At 48.9% G+C, this 16,326-nt stretch overlaps 1 protein-coding gene across 7 annotated transcripts in view, besides 3 other annotated features; it reads right to left on the bottom strand.

Annotated features, from left to right (window-relative positions):
* Positions 1-92: 92 nt before the first annotated feature.
* Positions 93-16,326, bottom strand: part of VPS35L (VPS35 endosomal protein sorting factor like) — a 145,461-nt gene continuing 129,227 nt past the window's right edge. For all 7 annotated transcript variants that reach the window (NR_158161.2, NR_158160.2, NM_001365295.2 and 4 more), the window contains 3 exons: positions 9,785-9,903; positions 1,608-1,754; positions 93-878 (listed from right to left, as the gene is read on the bottom strand). Coding sequence is in view for 5 of the 7 variants with exons in the window: in NM_001365295.2 (NP_001352224.1) it covers positions 780-878; positions 1,608-1,754; positions 9,785-9,903 (365 nt within the window). In the remaining 2 variants the exon portion in view is untranslated. The remainder of the gene's footprint in view (positions 879-1,607; positions 1,755-9,784; positions 9,904-16,326) is intronic.
* Positions 1,165-1,819: an enhancer, noted in NCBI's record as "H3K27ac-H3K4me1 hESC enhancer chr16:19710759-19711413 (GRCh37/hg19 assembly coordinates)". NCBI's record gives its function as "activates a minimal SCP1, AML or CMV promoter by ChIP-STARR-seq in primed H9 embryonic stem cells {active_cell/tissue: H9 hESC(primed)}" and the evidence as "EXISTENCE:reporter gene assay evidence [ECO:0000049][PMID:30033119]".
* Positions 1,820-2,475: an enhancer, noted in NCBI's record as "H3K27ac-H3K4me1 hESC enhancer chr16:19710103-19710758 (GRCh37/hg19 assembly coordinates)". NCBI's record gives its function as "activates a minimal SCP1, AML or CMV promoter by ChIP-STARR-seq in primed H9 embryonic stem cells {active_cell/tissue: H9 hESC(primed)}" and the evidence as "EXISTENCE:reporter gene assay evidence [ECO:0000049][PMID:30033119]".
* Positions 13,946-14,446: an enhancer, noted in NCBI's record as "H3K27ac hESC enhancer chr16:19698132-19698632 (GRCh37/hg19 assembly coordinates)". NCBI's record gives its function as "activates a minimal SCP1, AML or CMV promoter by ChIP-STARR-seq in naive H9 embryonic stem cells {active_cell/tissue: H9 hESC(naive)}" and the evidence as "EXISTENCE:reporter gene assay evidence [ECO:0000049][PMID:30033119]".

The raw sequence follows: 16,326 nt of genomic DNA, 5'->3' as shown, positions 1-16,326 counted from the left end.
AAAGCAGACAGAATCACATGCTGTTTAGAATTGTGGCTGCAAAACAAACCAGGATAATATATTTAGACACGGTCTTTCTCTTCTGGAGGAAGACAGTCAGAAGTAATTAAATGAACAGTCATGAACATAAATGCTCCTTCAGGACATTTATTCAGTTACTGTATACTGAAGCCACAGAGAATCTCAAATTTGACCTCGCTTTCTCCTTTGATCCACCAACACAGATTCTAAGTCCAATCAAGAGCTGCTTTTGATAGGAAAAAGAGTTAATGGAGTGCTATTTCTGCCTTTTATAAATCCTCCATAGGGGTTCAGGTAACACAGTTCCAGACTTTGGGTGTGCTCTAACTTTAAGGTACAAAGTCTGGAATGGAATGGGTCTGGAACAGTGGCACTTTGAAAAGCAGTCCACTTTTAAAGTCCTTATTTCTAAACTATGAAAAAACAAACACCTTCCAGAGAAGAAAGATGTTACTTGCATTCTTGTTTCTCTCTTGCTAAAAAGGCCCATCAGATCGGGCTGAGTAGACCGAAGGCCACTTGTGCAAAGACAACACAGAGACTGCTTCTTAGTGAAGATTGCATTTTAATGCTCTGACAACTCCCATTTCTTCATTGTCAGAATAACCTGGATAGAGGCCAAAGCTTAAAACAATTTGTACATATGTAAAAAGAAAAGAAAAATGAGAAACCTAAATTGCCGTAAGAGTTCAGGGCAGCAGAGCAGATCTTTCTGGATTTGGCACCAGAGTCCCTGAGCCTGGGGATGGGCCCGGGGGTCAGGTCCTTGTTTGCAGAGGGAGTCTGAGGGCCAGCTCCGTCAGATGAGTCATGTCTGGTTGTTTGCTTTGCTTCTTGATGTATTCTAGCGTTTTCACCTATGAGGAAAAAGAAAGATCCATCTCCTTTCTGGTTCATTATCCTTGGAGCCCAAGGCTCTAATGAATCAGCCATTATGTGAGCTTAGATTTCTTAGCAGAGAAGAGTGAGTTTTTTGAGGGATGAGAGGAGGGAAGAAATCAAAGTCTTCAACTTCTTGGATTGCAGCTTGCCCTAAAAATCAGATTTGGACGTGACCAGAAATGACTGATGTTTTGTATGTATGGTTCCTATTCAGAGGGAATAGACTTTTAAGGCTATGCTTTTGTTCTTTGTTTTGGAGACAAGGTCCTGCTCTATCACCCAGGCTGGAGTGCAGCGGTGTGATCATAGCTCACTGCAGCCTCGAACTCCTGGGCTCAAGCCATCCTCCCTCTTCAGCCTCCCGAGTAGCTGGGACTACACATGTGCACCACCATGGCCGGCTAATTTTTTATTTTTTGTAGAGACCTGGTCTCACTATGTTGCCCAGGCTGGTGTCAAACCCTTAGCCTCAAGCGATCCTCCTGTCTCAGCCTCCCAAAGTGCTGGGATTATAGGCATGAGCTGCCACACCTGGCCAGCTCTGCTTTTTACTGCTAGGAAGTGATCCAGTAGAAATGGACCAAGTGCTTTTCTAAAAGGGGAGTATGGGGTTGTCTGTCTGATGTCCAGGCCACAATGCTGTGTTGAGGGTGGTTGTGCACTGGCCAGTGGGCTTATACCACGGGGCCCTCCGAGCGCCTCACCATGGTCCTGGTGTCTGCACAGCCGTGCCTCTGTGCCAGGTGCCACAGGTTGACGGAGAGCTGGTTGAGCTTGTTGTTGCGTAGGTCCCCATGGGCCAAGATGCTGTTAAAGAAGGAAAGGCCCAACGAGCTCTGGCGCTTCAGGGCCTGAAACAGAAAAGGGAGGTTACTGCCTTGCACTGGGGCTCAGGCCGTGCCCCGCAGAGATGCTGTGGACAGTGCTGACTCTGGGGTAGGTCATGCCTGAGTTCCAGTGCCAGCTCTGCCATGTATTTGCTGTAGGGCAAGCTGCTGAACCTCCCAAAGTCCCAGCTGCTTCATCTGTAAGTGACAGTAAGGTCACCCCTGCAAAGGGCGGGGATTCAGTAAGATGACGAAGCTCTGTGCCCACAGATGGTCATTACTCATGAAATGGAAGAAACTCACCAGTCAGTGAGGTCGAGGAATGAAGGGTACCCCAGCAGGGACAAGCCTTGCTTTAATGCAAGTACAGCTGAAAACTGAAAGGCTTCAGCTCACCTCTTTCAGATGTGTCCTCAAACTACCCAAAGCTGCAGTCAGTATTCCTGCCCCTGGGCTGCCGGTAATAAAGACCAAAACACATCTCCCGAACTGAGCTCCCCAATCCTTGGTGCCCATATCCAGCCTTTACACGCTGACATCAGATCTTTCCTTTCTTGCTCAATCATCTGATGTGAGAGGTATCTTGCCAAAAAAAGTCTAACCACAGTGTCACGGCAGACCGAACCTGAACTCCAGCTTTGAGTGATAAAGACAAAAGGGAAAATAAATCTCCAGAATGCAACACCAGGCCCAGGAGAGAGGATACAACTTCCCCAAGGTAAACGAAGGCCCCTGGAAAAGCCACATCAACAGGTGGGTACCTGCTGTTCAGGAAGCCCATGGGGCCACGGCAGATCCCACATCTGCACAACATCAGTGCTGCCAAGAGTCTCATGTCTGCTCCCTGACAGTGAATGCGTGTAAGAGCCCTTAAGAGTGTGCCAGGGATTCTGCTCTGTGCTTTATACAACTCGCGTGATTTAACCTTCATGACAGCTCCGTGGCAGGTACACTCCTAACCGCCCATGATAGAATTCTAGAGGTGTCCCCCAGCATTCCTTCCCGTTATTCAAACATGAATCCCGGTGCTGCTGTGGAGAGACTGCAGATGGAATTAAGGTAGGGAGCATATCTTAGATGACCTGAGTGGGCCCTCGAATCACTGGAGCCCTTAAAAGCAGAAGCATTTCTCCGACCAGAATCAGAGACAAGCAGTGGAAGAGAAAAACAGGAAAGAGGAGGAAGAAGGGAAGCCAGAGATTCAAGGCATGAGGAGAACCTGGGCCACCAGTGGTGGCCATGAGCTGAGAAACACAGACAGCTTCTAGAAGCTGAGAAGGACACCTGGCCAACAGACACAGGATCTCAGTCCATGATCACACGGAAATGCAATCTGCAAATACCCTGAAGGAACAAGGAAGTAGATTCTTTCCAGTGCCTCCTGATAAGAGCCCAGCCAGCAAGACCTTGATTCTGGCCTTGTGAAACCCAGAACAGAGACGCCGGCCCCAGCTAGCACTGACTTCTCACCTACCAAACAGTGAGATCAAAAATGGGTACTGCTTTAAGATGCCAAGTTTGTGGCAACGGGTTATGGTGGCAACAGGAAATGAATATGCTCCCATTCTGCAGATGAGGCACCTGAGGCTCTGAAAGGTTAGGAACTTGCCCAAGGACCACAGATGGGTCCTCACAATGCAGAGGGGAGTCCGAGCTCCAGCTCTCTGACTCCAGAGCCTGTGCTCGTACTCACAGCCCTCTCCAGGCCACACACTCAGGGTCGCATCTTATCAGGAATCGCACTCAGAAAGGGCTGACTTGCCAGTGCCATGAGCCAACTTTGGCTATGCAGTTGTATGCAGGGATTAAGAATGGCTTGATTGGGCTTACACCAAAACACATTTCTTCCTGCTTTTCTCAACTACTCTCGGTGGCTAAAACCAACTTATCAACCGTCTATCCATCCAACGTTCCACAGATAATTCACATGGCGCCTGCGAGCTGCTATGCCAACTGATTTACCCCTTCTTACTGTCCTTTCCCAAGTGAGAATTTAAAGTCTTTTAGTGAAAAGAAAAAAAAAATTAGCTGAGCATGGTAGCACACACCTATTGTCCCAGCTACTCAGGAGGCTGAGGCTGGAGGATCACTTGAGGGCAAGAGTTTGAGGCTGCAGTGAGCTATGATCTCACCGCACTCAAGCCTGGGCATCAGAGCAAGACCCTGTCTTAAAGAAAAAGTCAAGGAACAGCTTCAAATGCAGTTGGGCAAGGTGGCTGAGTGGTAATTAAGACTCTTCGGCACCTCCCCTCCCCACTCCGGGCAAAATTGAGCCTGCCTTGGCAACAGCCTAGAGCAGCGACAGTCACAGAAGCAGCAGAGCCGACGGCAAAGAGCCCAATCATCAGGGAGCAGGTTGTGCTGTGGGCGCCCAGGCCCGCGGGCTACAAGAGAAAAGCGCTTTGGCACAGGGCACGCGGGCTGGCACCTGCTGGGCACGGACTCGCAAACTGGCTGGCGACCACCTGCTCTGCCTTCATTTGTTCTAACAGACAATGCAGTTATGCCCCAAGTGGGAACCTGAGCCCATCCTGCTCTCCTTTTAACCTGGTCCTCGTCTGACACCTGGGAGAACGGGAGCCCCACTTTCTGCCTGAATCTACAAGACCAAGCTAAAATAAAACTCTTTCAGAGCTAACTAAAAGTCTCCTTGGAGAGAGGCCCTTTGACTACCTTTCACTGAAGTGGGAGAAACTGTTTTAAAAGTCAGACAAGCAGCACAATACCTAATTGGCTATTTCTCCATTCCATATCTTCTCAATTAGCAAAAAGCTCAATTCGCATGTGTTTTAAATGCCAAAGCCCATTAAAAGTGAAATCATTGGAGACGTGTCTGAGGGATGAGACACATGCCAGCTGATATATTCAAACACCGAGAAAAATACAAACACGTAGCTTGGGAACCAAATCAGGGCCTGATCCCCTCCCCTCGCCACAGAGGTTTTAAATAGAAAAGAGCTGCTTTTCCTATGAGAACTGTCATTTCCAGGAAGCTCTCGGGGTTTGGCATGGTTCCCAGCTCCACCACACCCAAACAAACAACTTCATAAAATACAGCTTGTGATTAAAATGAGGCTGGCACCTTCACGTGGCCTTAGAGGATGACTTTGGAAGCACGGTTGCTACCAGAGCTGCGATATGATTCTCAGAACGGCACAGGCATCAGGGTTTTCCAACAGCAAGAAGCCGCCCACCCCACTCAGTGGGGAGAAATCCACCAGGCCCTTCCTGGTCTGTGATGGGCCTGGATACCAAGCCTCATGCTCTTGGGGTACCAGACTTCAGAGGACTCCAGTATGGCTGTTGAGCTGAACTTCAAATTGCACCATTAAAACAAAGGATAGCCGGGCACGGTGGCTTATGCCTGTAATCCCAGTACTTTGGGAAGCTGAGGCGGGCGCATCATGAGGTCAGGAGATCGAGACCATCCTGGCTAACAGTGAAACCCCGTCTCTACTAGAAATACAAAAAATTAGCTAGGTGTGGTGGCACGCGCCTGTAGTCCCAGCTACTCGGAAGCCTGAGGCAGGAGAATCACTTGAATCTGGGAGGTGGAGGTTGCAGTCAGCTGAAATTGTGCCACTACACTCCAGTCTGGGCAACAGAGCAAGACTGTCTCAAAAAAAAAATAAAATAAAAGAAGGATAACATGTTCAGTTTCAGCTTGGTCCACCCATATGACCATGTTTTTATTTATTTATTTATTTTAGAGACAGGGTCTTGCTCTGCTGCCAGGGTTGGAGTGTAGTGGTGCAATCACAGCTCACTGCAGCCTCAAACTCCTGGGCTCAAGCGATCCTCCCACCTCAGCCTCCTGAGTAGTCCCAGCTACTCAGGGTGCACACCACCATGCCTGGCTAACTTTTAAAATTTTTTTAGAGATGGGGTTTTACTATGTTCCCCAGGCTGGTCTCAAACTCCTGGAATAAAGCAATCCTCCTTCCCCAGCCTCCCAAAGTGTTGGGATTACAGGCATGAGCCACCATGCCTGACCGATGTTTTTCTAATAAATGTGCACATATGGACAGACATTTTCAGTGAACATCGCTGGTATTGATGCCACGTGAAATGTTCTTCAGAAACATTCCATCTTTGCTATTCTTTCAGAATCACTATCACCATCAACCCCTCTCTCCACCAGAGAAAGAGACATAAATGTTAAATATAAATAGCTCCAAATTATATGGTTCTGGGCTTTATTTTTCTTGCAAGCTTGGGACTTCTGGGCTATGATCATTTATGCTGTCAGTGACCACCTCTGATTAAACCCAGCCTATTGCCTCGGTATGAAGACACGTAATTTTGAACCACATGTCAAGTGTTCTGTGGGTGTGGCTTGTCAAACACACATCATTGTTCTAAGAGGTCCCTGGACTAGAGGGCGGAGCCAGAACCAATGGTTTCAAGAAATCAGGGGAAGGCTGGGCATGGCGGCTTACGCCCAGAATCCGCAGCACTTTGGGAGCCCAAGGCCAAGGTGGGCGGATCACTTGAGCTCTGTCTTTTTTTTTTTTTTTTCTGAAACAGAGTCTCGTTCTGTCACCCAGGCTGGAGTGCAGTGGCGTGATCTCAGCTCACTGCAACCTCCCCCTCCTGGGTTCAAGCAGTTCTCCTGCCTCAGCCTCCCAAGTAGCTGGGATTACAGGCATGTGCCACCACGCCCGGCTAATTTTTGTATTTTTAGTAGAGGTGGGGTTTCACCATGTTGGCCAGGCTGGTCTCAAACTTCTGACCTCAAGTGATCTGCCTGTCTCAGCCTCCCAAAGTGCTGGGAGTACAGGCATGAGCCAACCGTGCCCGGCCAAGCTCAGTATTTTAGGACTAGCCTGGGCAACCCAGAGAGACCTCGGCTGTGTAAGAAATAAGAACTTAGCTGGGTGTGGTGGTACATGCCTGTAGTCCCAGCTACTTGGGAGGCTGACATGGGAGGATCACTAGAGCCCAGGAGGTTGAAGCTGCAGTGAGCTAAGGTAGTGCCACTGTACTCCAGCCTGGATGACAGAGTAAGACCCTGTCTCTGGAAGAAAAAAAAAAAAAGAAAAGAAATCAGGGGAAAAAGCTAAGACAAGCTTTCCTTGGGGGGATCTAATTAGTACAAGCTAAAGGTGATGGGCTTCCATTATTCCTGTAGGCTGAAAGGGCTCTCTCCTGAAAACCATCTACACAGAAAACGGAAGAGGTATGAACCCTTGCTGAGTGTTTGTGCATGTTTGTAAAAGGTCTTTTAAAACAATGTGTATTTAGGGTTTTATTTTCTCATCTTGATTCATGAGCCTCAGATATGCAACATTTAAAAATTATTGATACATAATATTTGTGTGTATTTATGAGGTACATGTGGTATTTTGTTACATGCCTAGAATTACAATGATTGTGCCAGGGTATTTGGGGTGTCTGTCGCCTAAGCATTTATCATTTCTATGTGTACAGAACATTTCAAGTCTTCTCTTATAGCTATTTTGAAATGTATAATACACTGTTGTTAATTGTAGTTACTCTGCTCTGCTATTGAACATTAGAACTTATTCCCTTTTATTCCCCCTTTTTTCTTTTTTTTTTTTTTTTTCTTTTTTTTTGGAGACAGGGTCTTGCTCTGTTGCCTAGGCTGGAGTGCAGTGGCATGATCACAGCTCACTGCAGCCTCGAGTTCCCGCCGCAGCCTTCAATTCCCGCCTCAGCCTCTCCAGTAGCTGGGACTACAGGCACTCACCACCACGCCCGGGTAATTTAAAATTTTTTTCTGAGATGGAGTCTCACTCTGTCGCCCAGGCTGGAGTGCAGTGACATGATCTGGGCTCACGGCAACCTCCGCCTCCCGGGTTTAAGCGATTCTTCTGCCTCAGCCTCCCAAGTAGCTGGGACTACAGGCACACACCACCACACCCAACTAATTTTTTCTGTATTTTTTGTAGAGGTGGGATTTTGCCATGTTGGCCAGGCTGGTCTCGAACTCCTGGCCTCAAGTGATCCGCCCACCTCAGCCTCCCAAAGTGCTGGGATTACAGGCGTGAGTCACCGTACCTGGCCTAATTTTTAATTTTTTTTTTAATAGAGACAGGATCTTACTATGTTACCCAAGCTGGTCTCAAACTCCTAGGCTCAACTAATCCTCCCACCTGGGCCTCCCAAAATGTTGGGATTACAGGTCTGAGGCATTGTGCCTGGCCTGTTCCTTCTAACTGTATCTATCTTTGTACCCATTAACCAACCTCTCTTCATTGCCCTCCCCTGCCCCCCCGCAACACACACATCCACATACCCTTCCCAGCCTCTGGTATCAATCATTCTAGGAGAGTTGCCTCGTCTGATACTCACGGGTTTGATAAACCAGTTTTCCTGAAGAAGAAACTGGGGTTCCAATGCCACTCTTTCCACAAACAACCAAGAGCCCTCCAGGCACTAACTTGCTCAGAGTTCTGGTACTGCAGCTCGGGGTCCCCAGGGTCAGTAGGACACAGTCACATACCCTCCCTCCCTACAGAAGGTGCTACGGGCCCCCAGGGCTGCAGCATTTCTGCAACTGTTGGGTATGTAGGTCTCTGCCCTTTCAACTACTAACCCTAAGGCCAGCCCTTCGGGCAGTGCCCCTGAACTTGGAGGCCAGAAAAAATCCTACTCTCTCAAACACACGCTTGAACACCCTGGACAGAATGGGTATATATTGGCCGGGCGCAATAGCTCATGCCTGTAATCCCAGCACTTTGGGAGGCTGAGGCAAGAGGATCACTTGAGCTCAGGAATTCGAGACCAGCCTGGCTAATATGGTGAAACCCCATCTCTACTAAAAACACAAAAATTAGCCGGGTGTGGTGGCGGGCACCTGAATCCCAGCTACTTGGGAGGCTGAGGCAGGAGAATCACTTGAACCTGGGAGGTGGAGGTTGCAGTGAGCTAAGATCATGCCATTGCACTCCAGCCTGGGCAACAAGAGCGAAACTCCGTCTCAAAAAAAATAAAATAAAAAGAAAAGTGAAGTGGAAAGGCCTTGGTTGAGGAGGGCAATGTAGCAGTGCAGAGTTCAGGTTTGGGAATCCGGGTTAGAATCTCTGCTGTTTCATCACAGCCAGAGGAAATATCAACGGCTCTGAATAACCCTCTCTGAGCCTCAGTTTCCCTCCCCATTCAATGGAAATAAACACAGCATCTACATCTCACAGGGCTGTTGTGGGCACTGAAAGAGCCCAGGTATAGCAATCCCACGCTATCAGGGATTCACCATGAACTGATGGAGCATCTGCCGCAGGCCGGGCTCTGCATGAGACGTGGGGTGGTGCAGAGAGTTACCGGGTGTCCCAGAGTCCCTGTCTTGTCATTCAGACACAGGCAGGTCTTCAAGACTCACCAGGTCCAGGCCGGGTGCAGTGGCTCACGCCTATAATCCCAGCACTTTGGGAGGCCGAGGTAGGCGGATCACAGGGTCAGGAGTTCAAGACCAGCCTGGCCAACATAGTGAAACCCCATCTCTACTAAAAAAATACAAAAAATAAGCCAGGTGTGGTGGCGGGCACCTGTAATCCCAGCTACTTGGGAGGCTGAGGCAGGAGAATCGCCTGAACCCGGGAGGCGGAGGTTGCAGTGAGCCGAGATTATGCCACTGCACTCCAGCCCAGGCAATAGTGTGAGACTGTCTCAAAAAAAAAAAAAGACTCACCAGGTCCCTGCTCCCATGGAGCTTACATTCTAGTCAGGGAGCTGAGGGATGGACAGACAGAACATTTCAGACGGTGACTGAACAGGCGCTACAGGGACAATCGGGCAGAGGCATGCAGGTGGTGGTGGCTCCTTCAGACAGGGTCCGGGAAGGCCTGAGGAGGTCCTTTGAGCTGAGATTTCAATGACGAGAAGGAACAGCCAGGGGAAGCCCTGGGGGAGGCGCAGTCCAGGCAGAGAAAACAGCAGGAGCGAAGGCCCCAAAGCAATGGAGAAGTGGTTTGCACATAAACACATTACTCACATGACATAGTTTCCTTTCTAGAATGAACCAAGGTTGAACCACCCTGGAAACTTGTGCTTTCAGAGCAAGGGGCGGGTGGAGGACAGCAGAGGGCACCCACCTCGTCCTTGGCCAGGGTTTTCAGATGCTCTAGGATCTGAGCCATCACCGTCTCACACAGCTTGTTGTTTTCTGCCAGGAACTTGGAGTCTCCCCCGTAGAGGCTGTCGTTGGAGTCCACTGTTGAACAAACAAGAACAGTGAGACAGACCCAAGCCCCGCGGCCATGCTGGCCAGGGAGAGGCAGCCGTGTGTCATGTCACACCGAGTCAGCAGATGGCAGGAAGTCGTGGCAGGGCACATGGAAGTGGCGGAAATTTCCCACTGGGCTTGGGGCCTTGGGAATCACAAAGAAAACACCCAGCCTGCAGGACAGTCTAAGCCAGGGGTGTGGAAGTCACCCCTCTAGCCCATGTGTGCGTGGCGGGGAGCGGGGGTGACATTAATAATAATAATCATCATCACAGCAGCTGCCAGGCACTGGGCTAGGGCTTTCACTGCCTTATTGCAGAGTCCCCCACAACCAGTATGTGAAGACATGATTTTTCTTTTCTTTTCTTTTTTTTTTTTTGAGACGGAGTCTCTCTCTGTCACCCAGGCTGGAGTGCAGTGGCACGATCTTGGCTGACTGCAACCTCCGCCTCAAGGCTCAAGCAGTCCTCCTGCCTCAGCCTCTTGAGTAGCTGGAATTATAGGCACCTGCCAGCACGCCTGGCTATTTTTTTAATTTATTCTTTTATTTTTAATAGAGATGGGGTTTCACCATGCTGGCCAAGCTGGTCTCGAACTCCTGACCTCAAGTGATCCGCCTGCCTCGGCCTCCCAAAGTGCTGGGATTACAGGTGTGAGCCACCAGCCCAGCCAAGAGATGATATTAATATCTCCCTTTTAGGGAGATGAGGCTCAGAGGTGGTCCTAGCTGGGATCCTAAACCAGGAAGTCTGATTCCAGAGCTCACGCTCTTAGCTACCGCATCCAGCTGCCTGCCCTGTCACCCTCTCCTCAAACCTGGCTTTGGAAGGACTGCAGAGATTTTCTATTTCAACTACTCTAGAAGTGTAAATCCCTTTGATAATGTCTCTTGCCAAAAGCTCCTCCACTGTTTGCTGGGTCTCGTCCTGTGACAACCACTGCCTAGAGTAAGACAGGCCCAGCCAAGGACAGCCTGAGTCTGAGTTCCTCCTCCCTTCCTCCTCCCTCCCTCCTTCCCTCCCCACTCCTTCCTCTCAACTGAACTTCACACAGAGCATAATCTGGGCAACGAAAGAGACACCACACTCTGTGCTGCTTTACACTTTGTTTTTTTAACTTAATGATAAATCTTGGGGCTGGGATCAGTGGCTCACACCTATAATCCCAGCACTCTGGGAGGCTGAGGCAGGAGGATCACTTGAGTCCAGGAGTTTGAGACCAGCCTGAGCAACATAGCAAAACCCCATCTCTCCAAATAAAATTAGCTGTGTTTGGTAGCTCACGCCTGTAGTCCCAGATACTTGGGAGGCTAAGGTGGGAGGACTGCTTGAGCCCAGGAGTAGGTGGCTGCAATGAGCTATGATCACATGACTGCACTCTAGTATGAGCAACACAGCAAGATCCTGTCTCAAAATAAACAAAATAAAATAAATCTTCGTGCTATTTTTATATCAGCATACAATAATGCCCCCTTATCCTTGGGGGATACGTTCCAAGACCCTCAGTGGGTGCCTGAAACCACAGACAGTATTGAATCCTATATATATTATGCTTTTTCCTATATAGTAATGGGTAGGTAGTGTCGCATCAGTGTGGATAAACTGGACAAAGGGATGATGGATATCCTGGGTGGGACGAAGTGAAATTTTATCACCCTATTCAGTACAGTGTGCAAATTAAAACTTATGAATTATTTCTGAGATTTTCCACTTAATATTTTTGGACCAGGTTGACTGTGGGGTAACTGAAACTGCAGAAAATGAAACTGGGGCTGGGCACTGTGGCTAACACCTAGAATCTGAGCATTGTGAGAGGCTGAGGTGGGTGGATCACTTGAGGTCAGGAGTTTGAGACCAGCCTGGCCAACATGATGAAACCCAGTTTCTACCAAAAATACAAAAAATCAGCTGGGCATGGTGGTGCACGCTTGTAGTCCCGGCTACTTGGGAGGCTAAGGCAGGAGAATCGCTTGAACGCAGGAGGCAGAAGTTGCAGTGAGCCGAGATGGAGCCACTGCACTCCAGCCTGGGTGACTGAGCGAGACTCTGTCTCAAAAAAAAAAAACGCCAGGCACAGTGGCTCACACCTGTAATCCCAGCACTTTGGGAGGCTGAGGCGGGTGGATCATGAGGTCAAGAGATCAAGACCATCCTGGTCAACATGGTGAAACCCCGTCTCTACTAAAAATACAAAAATTAGCTGGGCGTGGTGGCACGCGCCTGTAGTCCCAGCTACTGGCACGCTCCTGCACTCCAGCCTGGCGACAGAGTGGGACTCCATCTCAAAAAAAAAAAAAAAAAGAAGAGACACCGGGTAAGGGGGCGCTACGCGTACAGCTCTGTTGCTTTGTTGTCATGTCTGCGTAGTATCCCACTGTACGATGGAAGAGAATGTATTTAGTTGGTCCCTACTGGGAACACTTCAGTGGTTTTCTTCCTTCCTTTTTTGGCTAGGGCCAGCCTGCTGCAAACCCTAGAGTTCACAACAAAACCACCAGCTCTGCCTACAGAGCCAGTTCTTTCCTTCCACACCCACATGAGCTCACATACCTTTTCCATGGGATCCTCTTACAGCTGCTTTCATTCCAGCTACCAGATGGGGACTTGTATGTGGCCGAGCATAACCGGCTGTGAACAAGCAGCACTCTGTCTGGGGAGCCCAGTTCAGCATCTGAACCCCCAGGCTAAAGGGAGAGCTCTGGAGCCAACACAGCACTCAGTGGTCAGGAAGGGGGACGGTGCGGCGGCGGCACTCGCTGCTTCTCACCTGGCACGGGCCTGCAATCTGGGTCACTGTCCTGAGTGCGTGGATATCTCATAAACCAAGAGCCATGCCTGTGCCTCGGGGTGTGGTTGTGTACACGCGGCCACAAGTGCACACGGCTAATCCAGTTTTGTGGCTTAGGGATGTCTTTAATAAACCACATCCAGTTTAGCTTATCTGCTAGAATGTGATTTGTTGTGCTTTTCTCGCCCCATTGAAAGAACATTCATCACTGTCTTGAGGAAACAAGTAGGAAGGATACTGTCTCAGATACACACAATTCAAAAGAGACAATATTTATGAGAAACACAGTAGGGCCTGTGCACAAACGAGGGACAAACAGCACGAGATGGCCAGGCACAGTGGCTCACGCCTGTAATCCCAGCACTTTGGGAGGCCAAGGCAGGTAGGTCACTTGAGCTCAGGAGTTTGAGACCAGCCTAGGCAACATGGTGAAACCCTGTCTCTAATAAAAATACAAAAATTAGCTCTATGTGGTGATGTGTGCCTGTAATCCCAGCTACTCGGGAGGCTGAGGTGGGAGGATGACTTGAGCCCAGGAGGCAGATGTTGCAGCAAGCAGAGATCACGCCACTGCACTGCAGGCAGGGCTACATTTTGTATTTTTGTAGAGATGAGGTTTCTCCATGTTGGCCAGGCTGGTCTCAAACTCCTGACCTCAAGTGATCCTCCCGCCTTGGCCTCCCAAAGTGCTGGAATTACAGGCATGAGCCACCGCGCCCGGCCATGAACACCTACTTCTTGAATCACCAATTGATAATATTTTGCTACTTTTGTGCAAGCTCTCTTGCTTGTTGTCTCTACAAGGATGGACAGACACACATAATTTTTTTTTTTTGGCTGAACCATTTGAAAGCAGGTTGCAGGCATATTGCCTAAGAATAAGGAGAACAACTGGTTTCCTTTGTTCCCCAGCTTCTCTGATCACAGGAATCTCTTATCCAATCTTAAACTGCTCGTTTATGGGGACTCTGCTGGGATACTTCCCCAAGGTTTCCTTTGCGATTGATTGCTCGTCTGACACCAGGTTGGTAGTTACTGGCCCTGGGCCGCAGGAGTCAATCTCAGAATTTCCAAGCCGGCTCTGGCTGCTGTGTCATGACTTGTACCTCCCCAGTGGGGGACGGCAGTTACTCTTGTAAGAAGCGAGAAGAATTCAATTCAGCCATTCAACACCACCTGATTGTGCAGGGCAGCAAAACTGCAGCTGGTGAAGGAATTTCTCATGTCTGCTGCTGAGGACCAGAATAGTTCCTGCATAAATTCCCAGTCTTCCTCCAGGTTGGAGTTCACTTTGATTCTGAACAGCCCAGCAATGGAGAAGAGGGAAGGTCCAACCACCCCAAGGGGCCAGAGGTGTGTTTAGAGCAGGCCACTCACACACACATGCAACACCTACTGAATAAGGCCTGCTTCATGCCAGCTTCTAGGCTAGGAGCGGGAACCTAGTGGGGGACAAGGCTGACCTGGCCCTACCCTCACAGACACAGAGGTCACAGTCTGTGAGGAGACACAGACACACAAACAGGCAATTGCAATAGTGTGCAGAGGTATTTGAGATGGAGTCTTGCTCTGTCGCCCAGGCTGGAGTTCAGTGGCACGATCTTGGCTCACTGCAACCTCCGCCTCCCAGTCTCAAGGAAGGGGGGGCAGTACAGGGGATCATGGGATACTAAAATCTATGCTTGGGACAGGATTCTGGAATCAGTGAGACCTGGACTGAGTCCTAAAGGTGGAATTCGCTAGCAGAAGTGGGAAAAGGGGTGAGAAGGGAGGAATTTATTTTCCATGCTGACACTTGGTGGTCATAGAGGGAAGGAGAAAAGGGCGCATTTGAGAATTAAAAGTAATTTGGTCAGGTCAGAGTGTATTGGGGGCCTTCAAGTCCAGACGTGGCTCTCACGAGGGGGAGAAATGATGTCCCCTGCAAATGGCCACTAAAAATAGCCCACAATCTCTGCATCTGTCCCACCCCAAGTTGCAAACCCGAATGCTTTGAGGGCCTGGCAGGTGACGTGGAAGAGTGAGGAGGGCTGCCTTGGCTTCACAGAAGCATCCTGAGTTGTACTCTTCCAATAAAGACACACTCTATCTGCATACTAAATACATAAACATTGAGGATCCAAGACTATTCTTCACTTCTACATCAAACATGCACGCTGTCTTGTAACCTCGTGTAAAAGCACCGGAGGGATTGCTCCAGGCAATGTCAGAGCCTTCTCTTTTTCTTAATCTGGGAAGAAAGTGGCCAAGGCATCCTCCAAAAATGCAGAAATTATTTAATCCCTCTCTTCCAAGTTCTAAGCTGTGTCAACATCGTCTAAAAGCCTCCCTAGAATGAGGAAGTGAACAGGGAAAAAGGAGCCCCCACAACCTGCAGAGACTCTGTGATTCCCTGGGTCTCCTACCAAGACGCCGGGCAGGTCACAGTTGCACATTCAAAGTAAACACAGCTGGACTAAGAAGAAGAAAAAGAAAATCCATCCTTCTGTTTTCATCTCTAAAAGCTAGAAAACTACACTCTTGCCTATCAAATATAGCCTCGCTCCCTCTGCTGCCAATCTGGCTCTAGTCGTCTTCGCTGGCGGCCTTGTTCAGAGAAAGGATGGGCTGAATCTGTTTAAGGGAGAGGAAGGAGAGGAGGGAGAGGAAGGAGAGGAGAGAGAGGAGAGGGCAGGGCATGCTCCTGTGATAGCCTCACTTCCAGGTCTCTGTCTGGTCCTCAAAGCTTTCTCTCTTGTTCAGAGCCTTCAATGTTCACTTCACAAAAGGGGAAACAAAGACGCCAAGAAATACAGGAAAGGGTGTTCAACCTCGCCAGCCATCAGAGAAATGCAAACTCCACTCCTAGAACAGCTGACATGAAAAAGAATGACCATAGCAACTGAACAAATGGAAGCCTCATTCGTGCCTGGTGGGAATGTCAATTGGTTTAACCCTTTGGGAAACTGTGAGGCAGTATCCTCCAACGCAGAATATAAGCAGATCCTATGAGCCAGCAACGCCACCTCCACGCAGACAGCCAATGGGAATGTACACCAAGAAATACATGCAAGAATGTTCACAGCTGCATTACTCATAATAGCCCCAAACTGGACCTGGCCACATGCAAATTTCCATCCAGAAGGAATGAATCAATTTTGGTACATCCACACAAAGGAATACTATACAGCAATGCAAAAGGTGAACTACCGTTTTGCATACCAACACAGATGAATCTTGGACATCATGCTGAGTTAAAGCAGCCAAATACCAAAGAATGCTTGCAAATATTTACTTATTCAGAAAGTGGCAAACTAATAAATAATGCTAGAAGTCAGGAGAGAGAGTGGTGTGTCTTCGAGAGTAGGGTGGTGATGCTGACTGAAGGAGGTGTTCTATTTCTTGATCTGGACTGTGGTTACCTGCGAGTGTTCACTTTGTGACAATTCACTGAGCTCTATAGTTTATTGCATATATGTTATATAATACACTTTAATTAAAACATTGCTTTTTTTTTTTTTTTGAGATGGAGTCTTGCTCTGTCACCCAGGCTGGAGTTCAGTGGTGTGATCTTGGCTCACTGCAGCCTCCTGAGCTCAAGCGATTCGCCTGCATCAGCCATCCAAGTAGCTGGGATTATAGGCG

Source organism: Homo sapiens, chromosome 16 (genome assembly GCF_000001405.40).
Source record: "Homo sapiens chromosome 16, GRCh38.p14 Primary Assembly".
Taxonomy (NCBI): Eukaryota; Metazoa; Chordata; class Mammalia; order Primates; family Hominidae; genus Homo; species Homo sapiens.
The sequence above is the reverse complement of the archived record's forward strand: the minus strand, read 5'-3'. Positions and strand labels throughout refer to the sequence as shown.